This window comes from Homo sapiens, chromosome 12 (genome assembly GCF_000001405.40).
Source record: "Homo sapiens chromosome 12, GRCh38.p14 Primary Assembly".
NCBI lineage: Eukaryota > Metazoa > Chordata > Mammalia > Primates > Hominidae > Homo > Homo sapiens.
The window spans coordinates 48749867-48766185 of NC_000012.12; the positions used below are offsets into that span (position 1 = coordinate 48749867).

Sequence of the window (16319 nt, forward strand, 5' to 3'; positions counted from 1 at the left end):
ATTTTTAGTAGAGATGGGGTTTCACCGTGTTAGCCAGGATGGTCTCGATCTCCTGACCTCGTGATCCGCCTGCCTCGGCCTCCCAAAGTGCTGGGATTACAGGCGTGAGCCACCACGCCCAGCCTATCTCTGGATCTGCCATTCTCTCTTGAGCCCACACCAACCCAGGCACTTGCCATCACCACACCATTAAAACTGCTTCAGGCTGGGTGCAGTGGCCCAGGCCTGTAATCCCAGTACTTTGGGAGGCCGAGGCAGGAAAATCGCTTGAGTTTAGGAGTTTTAGACCAGCCTGGGCAACAGAGTGAGACCTCATCTCTACTAAAAATCAAAAAAATTGGCTGGGCATAGTGGCACGCACCTTTAGTCCCAGCCATCAGGGAGGCTGAGGAGAGAGGATTACTTGAACCCAGGAGATTGAGGATGCATTGAGCTATAATCACACCACTGCATTCCAATCTGAGCAACAGAATGAGACTCTCTCTCTCTAAAAAACAAAACAAAACAAAACCCTGCTGTATCCATTTACCAATGACTCACATATTGCTAAGTTAAATGGTAAACTCTTAGTTCTCATTTTATTTAACATATGGGCAGAAAAGTGCAACAGAGCTCAGATGGTTCTGAATCCTGCTACTGCTGAGGTTGCTTGAAATATGTGGCTGGCTGGGAAGGGTTTGACCTTATGGACCACCATGGGGAACATGCCTCCTACTTTTCTATTACCTCAGAACTGGTTTGGGAAATTCACAACGTGGGGCAGGGAGATTATGGGTAAAATACAGCATTCTCTTCGTCTCCTAGCAAGTCCACATCTACCTTGCTTACCCTGGTCTTTCTCATCCCAAATTCTATGTCCATTAATTCAGGGAACCCACAGTTCCTGAATCTCCAGTCACCCTTTTCCACAAGCTAAACAATCTTGAAAGACTTTCATTTGTCTCCAGAATGGTTCCCTGGTCCCAGTTTCTTCCTGGTTGATTTCACCTTGTTAATACATTCACTCAAACTGCTTGACACCTTTCTGTCCATCTGGTTTTAGCACTTCAACCATTCTGTGGTTCAAATCAGCCACATTCCTTGCCTGGTCCCTTAGCTAGGCCTTTAACAGCAACTATAAAAATGAACCTATTAATAGTCACACTTTTCATTCTTAACACTGTTACTATCATGATATTTTTAAGTCATTCACAATTTTTCCTTGAAGAACGATAGGTTTTTTTTTCCTCCTAGTGGGTGTGAGTGTATTAACATTCAACTCAAAAGGGCCCACTCAAGCTTTCCTTATTAGAGTCATAATGAAAACTCACAGAGGTGAGTCAACACGTGTAATCAAACATTCTGCCAGTCCCTGCCTCCTTCCTACCTTTTCCTCCTGATAAAGAATCAAAATAGAAAAATCAAAGAGGCAAATGGATGTGGGGAACATACTTTGGTCTATCCTTGACTTCAGAAACTCAGTTTAAGCCAGGTGCAGTGGCTCATACCTGTAATCCCAGCACTTTGGGAGGCTTAGGCAAAAGGATCACTTGAGCCCAGGGGTCTGAGACCAGCCTGGGCAATACAGTGGGACCCTGTCTCTACAAAAAATTAGTCAGGTGTATTGGCGCATGCCTGTAGTCCCAGGTACTTGGGAGGCTGAGGTGGGAGGATCACTTGAGCCCAGGAGGTTGAGACTGCAGTGAGCCATGATTGCACCAGTGCATTCCAGCCTAGTGACAGAGTGAGACTGACTCAAAAACAAAAAGAAACTCAGTTTATCAAGTATCCAAAGATGTTCAAATTCAGGAGGCTAACTCACACTAAGCAAATTCATAGTGCCTCAGTTTCCTCACCTATAAATGGAGACAATAATGTCTGCCTTATTGTAGAGACTTATTGTAGAGACTGCACAATAAGTAGAGACTTATTGTGGAGAGGCCGGGTGCGGTGGCTCACACCTGTAATCCCAGCACTTTGGGAGGCCGAGACAGGCAGATCACCTGCGGTCAGGAGTTCAAGACCAGCCTGGCCAACATGGTGAAACTTCATCCCTACTAAAAATACAAAAATTAGCCACATGTGTTAGCGGGTGCCTGTAATCCCAGCTACTTGGGAGGCCGAGGCATGAGAATCTCTCGAACCTGGGAGGCGGAGGTTGCAGTGAGCTCAGATCATGCCACTGTGCTCCAGCCTGGGCAACAGAGCAAGACTCTGCCTCAAAAAAAAAAAAACAAACAAACAAAAAAAGGTGTATTGTGGACATTAAATAAAATAATGTATGTAACGTACCTAAGACCTAGCACATAAAACTTTACAACAGATGATGGAGGAAAAGTTATAAATCATATGTAAGTTCACTATTTACATATAGAACATATACCTTTCCTGTGGCTAGAATATCTTTGTCCGCTACTCAAGACATACTTGCCAGGATAGGATACCTGGAAAACAATATTTTTAACCATAAGATTCCTTGAGGTACAAAAAACGCTGGCTGGCTTCAAAGGATATTTCATCTAGGCCCTGAAAGAGGCTGGTCAACTCACTACCCACAGAAGAGCACCCCGACCAGTGACCAGAACTCTCATGTCTACCAGTTGGGAGATTCCTGTCCCTCCCAGGCTCACCATTCCTCTTTCTAATACTGGTTGCTCCTGCAGATTCAGCCCAGCTTCCAGGGTTCATTTACCTTCTACTCTGGAGTCTTGAGTGCCCAAGCTTTCCCTTCTGTCCTGCCCAGGGAAGCACAATCCTGTATCAGTCCTTTCCTTTGCTGAATCTCTCTCAACACCAGCTTTGAACCTTGCTCTCCTATTTATTCTTTTTTTTTTTTTTTTTTTTTGACAGAGTTTTGCTCTTGTTGCCCAGGCTGGAGTACAGTGGGGCGATCTCGGCTCACTGCAACCTCCGCCTCCCGGGTTCAAGCGATTCTCCTGCCTCAGCCTCCTGACTAGCTGGGATTACAGGCACATGCGACCACACCCAGCTAATTTTTTGTATTTTAGTAGAGACGGGATTTCATCGTGTTGGCCAGGCTGGTCTCGAACTATCGACCTCAGGTGATCCACCCACCTTGGCCTCCCAAAGTGCAGGGATTACAGGCATAAGCCACTGTGCCAGGCCATCCTATTTATTCTTAGCTTCATACCTGACACTCCTCTTGGTCCAGGAGGGCCCTGTTCTTTATTCTAGACAAATTCCCTCTAATCTGGCCCTTCTTTGAGAAAACTCCTTGCCTTGTTGTATGAAAATCTTGTGTCAGCCTAGCTCTCACCATAACACAAGTCCAGGCACCCAGAACACTGTTCATTGACCGGAGTCACAGAGAAAATCTCTGCGAGATTTGGGTGGTAGGGAAAGATTATGCCTGTTCTTGTCTTGAGACAATTGAGACAAATGACCTCTCCTTGCCAGACTCTCCAGTGACTACCCTCTAGCCACAGACATGCTGACCTTCAAGCTGTGCACATCCAAAGGGCCTCACTCCAGCTTATCCCACTGCTGCCCTTATCATTTCCCTTCCCTGAGGAATTCACTAATGAGTCCTCAGAGTTGCTCTCATTTCCAATTCCAAATGAATTTCTTTAAAGAAAGGCTCAACCTTGAGTTTCTGGTGAAAGCTGAACTCGTCTTACTTACGTTCTCATTTCCTGGATCCTGTTAGAGGACACAAAAGGTAGTCTTCCCAAGCCTGGCTGGAATGTCTTCTGCTCAATCTCCTAGTCTCCTTGCCTCTCTGAGCTGCCTCTTTGGTGAACTACCTGTTAGGAGACAGCTGGAGATCCCATTCTTAGACTCCAGCAGAGGGCACTGTTGTTCTGGCTTTTCTTTACTTTTTTTTTTCTTTTTTTTTTTTTTTTTTTTCTTTTTTTGGAGACAGTCTCACTCTGTCGCCCAGGCTGGAGTGCAGTGGCGCAATATCGGCTCACTGCAACCTCTGCCCCCCCGGGTTCAAGTGATTCTCCTGCCTCAGCCTCCGGAGTAGCTGGGACTACAGGTGTGTGCCACAATGCCCGGCTAATTTTTGTATTTTTAGTAGAGACAGGGTTTTGCCATGTTGGCCAGGCTGGTCTGGAACTCCTGACCTCAAGTGATCCACCCGCCTCAGCCTCCCAAAGTGCTGGGATTACAGGCATGAGCCACTGTCTCCGGCTTTTCAAACAGGAGCATAAGTGGCACAATTCAACCAAGAATGAATTGGCCAGAGCCACTGAGCCCCTCTGCCTTTCCAAACGGATAAACCTTCTGAAGTTAGAGAAATGTACCTTGGGGCAGAGTGTGATGGCTCATGCCTGTAATCCAACCACTGTGTGAGGCCGAGGCAGGAAGATTATTTGAGCCCAGGAGTTCTAGACTAGCTTGGGCAACATAGCAAGACCCTTTCTCTACAAAAAAAAATTTTTTTAATTAGCCAGGCATGGTGGCACATGCCTGTAGTCTCAACTACTCAGGAGGCTGAGGCAGGAGGATCACTTGAGCCCAGGAGTGAGATGAGGTCTCACTCTGTTGCCCAGGCTGGTCTAAAACTCCTAAACTCAAGTGATTCTCCTGCCTTGGCCTCCCAAAGTACTGGGATTACAGGCCTGGGCCACTGCACCCAGCCTGAGGCATTTTTTTTTTTAGACGGAGTCTCGCTCTGTCACCCAGGCTGGAGTGCAGTGGTGTGATCTCGGCTCACTGCAAGCTCCACCTCCCGGGTTCACGCCATTCTCCTGCCTCAGCCTCTCGAGTAGCTGGGACTACAGGTGCCCGCCACCATGCCCGGCTAATTTTTTGTATTTTTAGTAGAGACAGAGTTTCACTGTATTAGCCAGGATGGTCTCGATCTCCTGACCTCGTGATCCACCCGACTAGGCCTCCCAAAGTGCTGGGATTACAGGCGTGAGCCACCGCGCCTGGCCTGTTTTTCGTTTTTTGAGGCAGGGTCTTGCTCTGTCACCCAGGCTGGAGTGCAGTGGCACAATCACAGCCCACTGCAGCTTCAACCTCCTGAACTTCAGCGATCTTCCCACTTCAGCCTCCCGAGTAGCTGGGACCACAGGCTCGTGCCACCATACCTCAGCCTCCCAAAGTGCTGGGATTATAGGCATTAGCCACCATGCCTGGCTGCAAATACCCTAATCTAGAAGGTAGATTTCTGGGAGGCACAAAGGTAGACTCTTTCTAAAAATTCTTCAGCCTGAAAACATTGTGGCCAATCAGCCCCAGTTGCAACAAACAGAGGCAATGGGCAAAGTAGTGAATAACTAAGATTGTGTGACCACCCCCGAGTCACAGGGAAACTTGTAATACTGAGAAATCTGCACCATTAATTTGGAGGGATGGAACATCCACTCAAGTACTTTTATATGACCCTACATGTCCTTCATAGTCTCTTCAAAGCATTAAAGGTGGTTTTATGGCAACCCCCAATTTGTGGCCCAGTTCTAGAAGCTATTTAGGGTATTTCATATCTACTTATCAACAAAGACCATGCAGAGCATGGCGTTAACTGGGTGGATGAAGGACCTCTGTTGTATCACCTACCGACAGAATAATTGATTCATCTACCTTACCACAGTGGAGTTTGGTTATAAAGAGCTCATTGCGTCCCTCTACCCAGAACATGCCCTTTCCCAGTAGCTGTGGCATGATTCTTTCCAAGCCCTTCGCCCTTCACCCCAGGTACCTTCCAAACCTTGGCAGCTTGGGGAAGTTATGGGTTATCAAGAATATCTCCCAGCTTGCCAAAAATGGATGCAAGGTATATGCCAATTGGTGCTTGATTCCATAGGAAGGCATCCAGGTGAGTGACACTGTCCAGCACACCTCCAAGCACACACTGACCATTCATATGGGAAGCCGGGACCATGCTACTTGGACATGTTGAGATAATAGAGAACATCATCTGCCTGTACCCTTGACAATCAGCCTGAGGCCTCGGGAACAGACAGATTTCCTAACTGTCACTTGAGCTCAGACCAATAACTATTCTCAGTCTAGACTGGCCACTAGGAATATGCTTGTTCTTTCTCCTCAGTTTCTTTCTTTTTTTTTTTTTTTTTTTTGAGACAGAGTCTTGCTCTGTTGCCCAGGCTGGAGTGCAGTGGTGTGATCTCAGCTCACTGCAAGCTCGGCCTCCTGGGTTCACGCCATTCTCCTGCCTCAGCCTCCCAAGCAGCTGGGACTACAGGCCCCTGCCACCACACCTGGCTAATTTTTTTTTTTTGTATTTTTAGTAGAGACGGGGTTTCACTGTGTTAGCCAGGATGGTCTCCATCTCCTGACCTCGTGATCCGCCTGCCTCGGCCTCCCAAAGTGCTGGGATTACAGGCATGAGCCACCGTGCCCGGCCTCCTCAGTCTATTTCTATTTGTCCAAGGACATCCTACCACCCCTACCTTGCCCAAATTCAAATACCGGCTCAATAATATTGCTTCCAGGAAATGGCCTCGTTGCTATAACCTGTGATGAAGTACAAATCAGCCCCATGGTTCAGTCCAGGCTTCCAGAACTTTATATGCTAACCAAGGCTTCAGTACTGTTGCTTCTCCAAGTCCTCAACTGTACAGGGAGGGGATTCAAACTGTGCCCCACTCTGGTGGTACCATTATTTCAGATAGAAAATGTTAAAAGAGATTTAATTGGAAGGCAAACGAGAGAGATGAGGGACAGAGATGATGAATGAGTGAGGCCAAGCCAGGAAGAAAAGAAAAAAGCAGGAGCTGGGGAAGAACTCCAGAATAGAAGTGGCATCTCCGCACTCCACCAGAGATTAGTCAGCAATCCTCGGCAATTTCCAAAGAGAATGGTAAACTGATCCAGTTCCTGACAAGCATCCATAATCATGAAAAATAAAAATTTGAGGAATGGGATGACTTCTGCTCCAGGAATACAGAATCGAGGCACTGAAAACGTCAGATGCAGAGATGGATTTTTTTTTCTTTTTTTCTTTTTTTTTTTTTTGAGACAGAGTTTCACTCTTGTCTCCCAGGCTGGAGTGTAGTGGTGTCATCTTGGCTCACTGGAACCTCCACCTCCGGGATTCAAGCGATTCTCTTCCCTCAGCCACCCTGGTAGCTGGGATTACAGGCGTGAACACTACTCCTGGCTAATTTTTGTATTTTTTATAGAGATGGGGTTTCACCATGTTGGCCAGGCTGGTCTCAAACTTCTGACCTCAGGTGATCCATCCTCCTCGGCCTCCCAAAGTGCTGGAATTACAGGCATGAGCCACGGTGCCCAGCCAAGAGCTGGATTTTACTCTGCATTTGAGACTGGCTGGAGGAGATAGGGAAAGGGGCCTAGCGCCTTTTTGGCTTGCGTGACAGAATGGATGGAACAGCCAAGAGACAGAAATCTTGAAGCCACCCTAAACAGCTTTCCTTTTCTCACTCCCTCACCAAGTCTTGCTCTTCTGAAAGACTTAAAAAAAAAATTAAATTTTTTTCAAACTCATCCTCCCTTGCTCAGGAGTCTGAGATGCAAGCCAAATCTAGCCTATTTAAGCAGAATATGAATGTATTAAAAAAAATATTGGCTGGGCGCAGTGCCTCACCCCTGTAATCCTAGCCCTTTGGGAGGCGGAGGCAGGTGGATCATGAGGTCAGGAGTTGGAGACCAGCCTGGCCAATATGGTGAAATCCTGTCTCTACTAAAAATACAAAAATGAGCCAGGCGTGGTGGTGAGCGCCTGTAGTCCCAGCTACTTGGGAGGCTAAGGCAGAAGAATCGCTTGAACCCAGGAGGCAGATGTTGCAGTGAGCCAAGATCACACCACTGCACTGCAGCCTGGGTGACAGAGTGAGACTCTATCTCAAAAAAATAAAAATAAAAATAAAATAAAATAAAATAAAAAATAAATATATATATGTATATATATGGGACCAGGTGCAGTGGCTCACGCCTGTAATCCCAGCACTTTGGGAGGCCGAGGCAGGAGGATCACATGAGGCCAGGAATTCAAGACCAGCCTGGCCAACATGGTGAAACCCCATCTCTACTAAAAATATGAAAATTAGCTGGGCATGGTGGCACACGCTGGTAATCCCAGCTACTTGGCAGGCTGATGCAGGAGAATCGCTTGAACCCGGCAGATAGATGTTGCAGTGAGCCAAGATCATGCCACTGCACTCCAGCCTGGGTGACAGAGCAAGACTCCATCTTAAAAAAAGAAAAACTATATATATGTGGGGCTGGATGCAGTGGCTCATACCTGTAGTCCCGGCACTTCGGGACGCTGAGGAGGGAAGATCGCTTGAGCCCATAAGTTCAAGGCTTCAGTGAGCTACGATTGCACCACTGTACTCCAGCCTGGGTGGCAGAGGGAGACCGTCTTAAAATACATAAATAAATAAAAAGAGAAAAGAAAATAAGAAAATGTTGGGAAGCACGTAAAAGCTGCAGTAGGAATGGAAAACTACACATGGTGGATAGTAACCAGAAGCAATGCTCAGAATCATGCCATAGACCTGGTCTGGCACAGACACTACTACATTCAATGCTGTGGTGGACACTACTGGCCCCAAGGATGCTGGGCCCTGAATACTGCTGCTGGAAACAGGATGCAGCTTCACTGCTGCCACCTCCCGTCACTAGCGGATAACTTTATATGGCCACTGCTTCCTTGCAACCTTCTTTGATTCAAAATCTGAAACGGATGTGTTTGATTGGCCTAGCCAAAATTCTTTGTCCATATCCTTGCTGAAAGAGAGGTTGGATAAGGAAGAACTAGTCTATTCAGCCTCTATTGTGAGATACAGGTTTTGCTTCATAGGGAGTGATTCCCAAACATAATGAATGCTAGGTAGCCACTATAATACACCACCTTACCAGCCCCATCTCCTGTCCTTCTCCTCTTCACCCAGCACTCGAGGCTCCAAATCAAATAGCTCTCTGATGCCTTTCTAATGCTTCTAAACACTTGTCATTCTGCTGTCTGAAATGCTCTTCCTGATTCTACTGTAACCTACCTCCTTCTTTTCCTCCAAGACTTAGCTCAAACATGACTTCCACTATTAGACCATTTGAAGTTCTGCAAATATGCCAATCCCAGGAAAGGAATGTCTACCCAGATAAGGGCCTTTTTCACTTGGACTAACCCTAAGTATGTGTCCAATATCCTGATTCCAGAAGTTGGCCTCTTAAAATCCAGGAGTCAGGGAGAAGCAAGAGAGTGGTAAGGGAGGTCTTGTGATCACTGTGTTCTCTCTCCCTCCCCTCTGTCACAGCCATGGTGATTGGATTCCTGAGGTCCTGAAAATTGGATGTGAGTGGCTAGGAGAGATCCCTGCTATGCATCTGGTTAGCATGGAGACCAGGGAATCAGAGAATCAAATAGTCATTTGCCAAGTACTCAGAACGAGTCTACTCTAATTTCAGACCAGAAGGAACCAGAGCCTACTAGGCTTCCCCCCATTATCTCAAAAGATGGGAATTATTCCGTGCACCAGAATAGCCACACAAGATACCACGAAGCTGTCCGGAAGGTGTTGTTGAAGACGTGTAAGTACCTTGGGGTGGGCATCATGCTAGGAGAAAAAAAGATATGTCTGAGTTCCTAAAGAATGGCTGGGATGAGGCCGGGCTTGGTGGCTCATGTCTGTAATCCTAGCACTTTGGGAGGCCGAGGCAGGCGGATCACAAGGTCAGGAGTTCAAGACCAGCCTGGCCAACATAGTGAAACCCCATCTCTACTAAAAATACAAAAATTAGCCGGGCATGGTGGTGCATGCCTGTAGTCTCAGCTACTCAAGAGGCCTTGAAGCCGGGAGTTGGAGGTTGCGTGAGCCAAGATCGTGCCACTGCACTCCAGCTTGGGCAACAGAGTGACACTTTGTCTCAAAAAAAAAAAAAAGAATGGCTGGGATGTGGTTGGGTATGGTTATCAGGCAGGAAGAAAAAAAAAGAGCCAAGAGAAGAGACTGAGAGGAAGAGGGAGAAAGTAGACTTGGTGGGGTAAGCACGATATGATAAAATGAAAAAAAAAATTTTTTTTTGAGATGAGTCTTGCTCTGTCACCCAGCCTGGAGTGCAATGGGGCCATCTCAGCTCACTGCAACCTCTGCCTCCCAGGTTCAAGTGATTCTCTTGCCTCAGCCTCCTGAGTAGCTGAGATTACAGGTGCCTGCCACCATACCTGGCTAATTTTTGTATTTTTAGTAGAGGTTGGTTTGTCCAGGTTGGTCTCAAACTCCTGACCTCAGGTGATCCACCCACTTGGGCCTCCCAAAGTGCTGGGATTACAGGCGTGAGCCACCATGCCCATCAATGAAATGAAATTTGAATTAGACTTGGAAGCAGAAGATGTTTGAGTCCTAGTTCTGCCTCTTTTTTGATGTTTCACCTTTTCTTTTCTTTTCTTGGAAACAGGATCTCATTCTGTCACCCAGGCTGGAGTGCAGTGCTGCAATCATAGCTCACTGCAGCCTCGAACTCCTGGGCTCAAGTGATCTTCTTGCCTCAGTCTCCTGAGTAGCTGGGACTACAGGCATGCACCACCAAGCCTGGCTAATTTTTTAAAAACATTTTTGTAGAGAGGGAGTCATGCTATGTTGTCCAGGCTGGTGTCAAACTCCCAGGCTCAAGTGATCCTCCCACCTCGGCCTCCCACAGTGCTGGGATTACAGGTGTGAGCCACCACACCCAGCCCATTTACCCTTTATCAACCTACTCCCTCATTGGTTTTGCTGTTGTTGTTGTTTGTTATTGTTGTTTTGAGGCAGATTCTCACTCTATCGCCCAGGCTGTAGTGCAGTGCTACGATCTTGGCCCACTGCAACCTCCGCCTCCCTTGTTCAAGTGATTCTTGTGCCTCAGCCTCCTGAGTAGGTGGGACTACAGGAGTGCACCACCACCCCTGGCTAATTTTTGTATTTTTAGTAGAGACAGGGTTTCACCATGTTGGCCAGGCTGGTCTCGAACTCCTGATCTCAGGTGATCCATCTCCCTCGGCCTCCCAAAGTGCTGGGATTACAGGCGTGAGCCGCCACTTAGGGCCCCTCATTGGTTTAAAGGCAGGATGTTGGGGAGAGAAAATGCCTGAGCTATTGTTTTACTAATCTTTCAAAATTATTGGGAGAAAAAAGTATATTGTATATTATCATGCATTATCCCTTTGAGGAATAGTAAGCACAAGCTTTGGCATTTTATTGAACTGGGTTTAAACTGCAAACGAATTCTGTGACTTTAGGCAAGTTCCTTTAACCACAACCTCTCTGAACCATCTGGAAATGGGAATAATACTTTTTAGCACTATTGTCAAGAGAGAACATGTACATTTTAAAAAGCATGTAGCCAGCCTGGGCAACATGGTGAAATCCCATCTATAAAACATACACCTGGGCACAGTGGCTCATGCCTGTAATCCCAGCACTTTAGGAAGACGAGGCGGGCGGATCACTTGAGGTCAGGAGTTCGAGACCAGCCTGTCCAACATGGCGAAACCCCATCTCAACTAAAAATACAAAAAAATGTTAGCCGGGCATAGTGGCAGGCGCCTGTAATCCCAGATACTTGATAGGCTGAGGCAGGAGAATCGCTTGAACCCAGGAGGCAGAGGTTGCAGTGAGCTGAGATGGCACCATTGCACTCCAGCCTGGGGGACACAGCGAGACTCCAAAAAAAAAAAAAAAAAATCGCAGGGCATGGTGGTGCTCGCCTGCAGTCCCAGCTATTCAGGAGGCTCAGGTGGGAGAATCACTTAAGCCTGGCAGGTCAAGGCTGCCATGAGCTGTGATAGTGCTACTGCACTCCAGCCTGGGCAACAGAGCAAGACCCTGTCTTTAAAAAAAAAAAAAAAGCATGTAGGACATCAAAGCATGATGTAAGCTGATAAAAAATACAAATAAAAATAAACATCACATAGCGTATGATGCCATTTATATAACATTCTTTTTTTTTTTTTTTTTTTTTTTTAGATAGGGTCTCACTCTGTTGCCCAGGCTGAGTACAATGGTGCAATTATAGCTCACTACAGTCTCAAATTCCTGGCTCAAGTGATCTTTCCACCTCAGCCTCCTGAGTAGCTGAGACTACAGGCATGTGCCACTATGCCCAGCTCTTTTTTTTTTTTTTTAATAGAGACAAGGTCTGGCTATCTCCCACACAGCGATCCTCCTGCCTCAGCCCCACAAAGTGCTGGAATTACAGGTGTGAGCCACCATGCCAGGCCTTATAATACTCTTATATGACATTCTTATATAACACTCTTATAACATTCTTTTTTTTTTTTTTTTTTTTTTTTTGAGACGGAGTCTCTCTCACTCTGTCTCCCAGGCTGGAGTGCAGTGGCGCGATCTCGGCTCACCACAAGCTCTGCCTCCCGGGTTCATGCCATTCTCCTGCCTCAGCCTCCCGAGTAGCTGGGACTACAGGCGCCTGCCACCATGCCCGGCTAATTTTTTGTATTTTTAGTAGAGACAGGGTTTCACCGTGTTAGCTAGAATGGTCTCGATCTCCTGACCTCATGATCCGCCCACCTCGGCCTCCCAAAGTGCTGGGATTACAGGCGTGAGCCACCCCGCCCAGCTTTTTTTTTTTTTTTTTTTTTTTTTTTTTGAGACGGAATCTTGCTCTGTCGCCCAGGCTGGAGTGCAATGGTGCGATCTCGGCTCACTGCAACCTCTGCCTCCCAGGTTCAAGCGATTCTCCTGTCTCAGCCTCCTAAGTAGCTGGGATTACAGGCACCCGCCACCATGCCTGGCTAATTTTTGTATTTTTAGTAGAGACGAGGTTTCACCATATTGGTCAGGCTGGTCTTGAACTCCTGACCTCAGGTGATCCACCTGCCTCGGCCTCCCAAAGTGCTGGAATTACGGGCGTGAGCCACTGCATCCGGCTCTTATAACATTCTTAAAATGACAAGATTACAGAAATGAAGAACAGATCACTGATTTCCAAAGCGGGGCAGTGGGGGAGGGTGGCTATAAAATGCCAGCTCCAGGATGGGTGGTGATGGAACTGTTCTGTATCAATATATTCAATATATTAATATCATGTTGTGGTAGTGTCCCATAGTTTTGTAAGCTGTAACCATTGTGGGGAAGAGTAAAAGGTACACATGATTTCCCTGTTTTTGTTTTTGTTTTTAATAGAGACAGGGTCTTGCTATGTTGCCCAGGCTGGTCTTGAACTCCTGGGCTCAAGTGATCCTCCCAAAGTGCTGGGATTACAGGCATGAGCCACTGCACCTGGTTTCCCCGTATTATTCATTACAACTGTATGTGAACCTATAATTATAACAAAATTAAAGTTTAAAACCTAAAATACTTTCAGAAATCAAAACAGGCACATGTGGAAAGAGGGGTAGTAAGTTATTTCTAATAGCAAAACTTTAACATTTTTCCATTTTTATCTATTCGAGACAGAATCTTGCTCTGTTGCCCAGGCTGGAGTGCAGTGGCACAATCATGGCTCACTGCAGCCTCAACAACCTCCCAGGCTCAAACGATCCTTCCCACCTCAGCTTCCTGAGCAGCTGGTACTACAGGCGTGCACCATCACACTGGGCTAATTTTTGTATTTTTTGTAGAAATGGGGTTTCAACATGTTGCCTGGGCTGGTTCTGGAAGTCCTGGGCTGGAGTGATCCATCTGCCTCTTAAAGTGCTGGGATTACAGGTGTGAGCCACTGCACCCAGCCTCTAATAGCAAAACTTTTTAATAGCTTATTATTAATTAATAGAAAAATAAGCCAAAAATGTAACATCTACTCAATGAATTATTAGGGATTTTAAAAAAATTATTATAAACACTATATAGCAATCCAGAATATTAGGCTATAATTCTAAGTTTTAAAAATATACAAATTTTATACTGGTAGAATTAGACTTATCCAAATAAATAGTAAAAGTACTTTTTTTTTTTTTTTTTGAGACAGTCTCGCTCTGTCGCCCTGGCTGGAGTGCAGTGGCACGATCTCAGCTCACTGCAACCTCCATCTCTCGGGTTCAAGCAATTCTCCTGCCTCATCCTACTGAGTAGCTGCGATTACAGGCACCCCCCACGATGCCCTGCTAATTTTTGTATTTTTAGTAGAGATGGGTTTCACCATGTTGGCCAGGCTGGTCTCAAACTTCTGACCTCAAGTAATCCACCTGCCTCGGCCTCTAAAAGTGCCGGGATTACAGGCATGAGCCACCTCACTCGGCCAAAAGTACTTTTTTTTTTTTTTGAGATGGAGTTTCCCTCTTATTGCCCCAGCTGGAGTGCAGTGGCACAATCTTGGCTCACCGCAACCTCTGCCTCCTGGGTTCAAGTGATTCTCCTGCCTCAGCCTCCTGAGTAGCTGGGATTACAGGCATGCACCACCACGCCCGGCTAATTTTTGTATTTTTTTTTTTAGTAGAGACGGGGTTTCTCCATGTTGGTCAGGCTGGTCTCGAACTCCCGACCTCAGGTGATCTGCCTGCCTCGGCCTCCCAAAGTGCTGGAATTACAGGCGTGAGCCACCGTGCCCAGCCCAAAAGTACTTTTTCAAACAGCATCAAAGTCTGATATTATTACAAAAATTTAAGAATATTTAATACCACATTTAGAACATAATAGGCACTAGATAAATTACATCTATTAATAGCATCTAAATGTGAGGTGGTATTAGTTAGGTTTCAGAGAATTACTTGGAGTGAGCAAAGGAAGCCATTTTTTCCAAGAGGAGGGAAGAGAATGAGGATGATTAAGCCAAGAAGAAAGAAAAATAATAGATCAGTGGACCCCATCTTACACATTTCCCAAGTGGGTTGACCACTTGTTTTTCTACCATCTTAGCACTTGGGGAAAGCTCTCTTGGAGATGGGCTTACTAGCAGCAGGAAGAACCAAGACTGATTCATTTGACCATGAAGGGTGTGAGATGCTAGAATCCGGAAGTGAAGCAGGGTGTGGTGACCACACTCCCAGGACCTCTCAGCACCTGGTCCGGCCAAGCAGTTGCTGGGCTGGGCTGGGCTATTGCTGCCCTGAGGCAGAACAGTGAGCAGAGAACTTGAAGGAATTAGATAACCTGCCCTTCCCCCCACCCATTCAGTTCCCAATCAGGTCTTCAGAATCCCCTTGACTGATGCTCAGAACTTCAGCTTCTGGTGGTCCCATGATCCAGGAGTGCGTCCAGAGGAAACCATGCCATGGATCCGGAGCCCACGCCATTGTCTCATAAAAAGCGCGATGACCAGGTTAGGCTGGGAGGGGTAAGGGTGGGGAGGTCAAGGGAAGTACTCCTTCCCTTCACTTTAATTCTTAGAGATTATTTCATCTCCGGTCAGTTAGGGAATTAGGAGAGATTTGAGTCTTACCAGAGAAAACTGGCCCCAGAATTTGGGCCGTGATGACATTCAAAGGAGTTAGAGATTTGTCTGTGTCTTTGTGTTCCTCTTTGTGGGTGTGACTTCTGAGCTAGTGCAAAACAAGTGTCCATAGTAATCCTGTGGCAGCCCAATGCTGCCTTCGTCGCTACCTCTCCACCCCTCAAATCACCATCCATTGGCAGTAGCCTCTGCCACCCAGGTTCAAGCAATTCTCCTGCATTAGCTCCCGAGTAGCTGGGATTACAGGCACCCGCCACCGTGACCGGCTAATTTTTGTATTTTTAGTAGAGACGAGGTTTCACCATCTTGGCCAGGCTGGTCTTGAACTCCTAACCTTGTGATCCACCCGCCAGGGCCTCCCAAAGTGCTGGGATTACAGGCGTGAGCCACCGCGCCCAGCCTCTTGGGAGCTATTTTTAAGGATCTCCTGCTCTCCAGCCTGGCCTGGCTGAATCTCTCTCTGAATCTCTTCTTTCCAGGTTTATGGATCACTCTATTCTCAATGACAGGACCTTCAGTCTGTATTAAGAAGATATGGCTGCAGAAAGACAAGATGAATTGTGGCAAGAGTGCAGAGGGGGAAAGAAGGAGGTTTCCCAGTTCCGATGGCTGACTAATGGGAGGAGGAGATGGAGAAAGCACAGTAAACAGACTGGACTAAAAGTTGCTTGTGTGCACGGGGGGAGCTGTGGGGTCAGGATGGGAGTGATTCCAGTGTCCAGATTGTTGTGAGAGCTGCTGTGTGGGAGATTCCTGAATAAGCCAGACCTTGGAGTGAGAGGTCTGTGAGGGGCCAAGGCACTGGAAAGAACCGCCGGCTTCATGCATGGCAGGGGTCACACACAAATCTGGGAAGGCACACACTGGAGCTCATGATGCTGAAAGGCCTTGAGTAGTCACACTCTGAAGATACTGCAGCTTCTCCTTAGCAGGGAGAAAGCCACAGGAAGTCCTCTGACCACAGACAAGAGGCCCACGGAGCCCTGGGGCAGGAGGTCGCCTCCTACACCAGGCTCTGTCACTTCTGACCCACCCAGGGCCCAGAACAGCTACAGAGA

At 46.9% G+C, this 16319-nt stretch overlaps 1 protein-coding gene across 5 annotated transcripts in view, besides 1 other annotated feature; it reads left to right on the top strand.

Moving 5' to 3' along the window:
• Positions 1–16319, top strand: part of SPMIP11 (sperm microtubule inner protein 11) — a 44025-nt gene that overhangs the window by 22432 nt on the left and 5274 nt on the right. For 4 of the 5 annotated variants that reach the window (NM_001351125.2, XM_024448926.2, XM_024448927.2 and 1 more), the window contains 3 exons: positions 9343–9465; positions 14985–15129; positions 15741–15924. In NM_001351125.2, the coding sequence (NP_001338054.1) occupies positions 9343–9465; positions 14985–15129; positions 15741–15789 (317 nt within the window). In that variant the 3' untranslated portion in view covers positions 15790–15924. Of the gene's footprint in view, positions 1–9342; positions 9466–14984; positions 15130–15740; positions 15925–16319 lie in introns of those variants that run through there. The other variant, XR_002957306.2, reaches the window with a different exon arrangement.
• Positions 16180–16279: an enhancer, noted in NCBI's record as "active region_6288". NCBI's record gives its function as "activates an Ori minimal core promoter by ATAC-STARR-seq in GM12878 lymphoblastoid cells {active_cell/tissue: GM12878}" and the evidence as "EXISTENCE:reporter gene assay evidence [ECO:0000049][PMID:35858748]".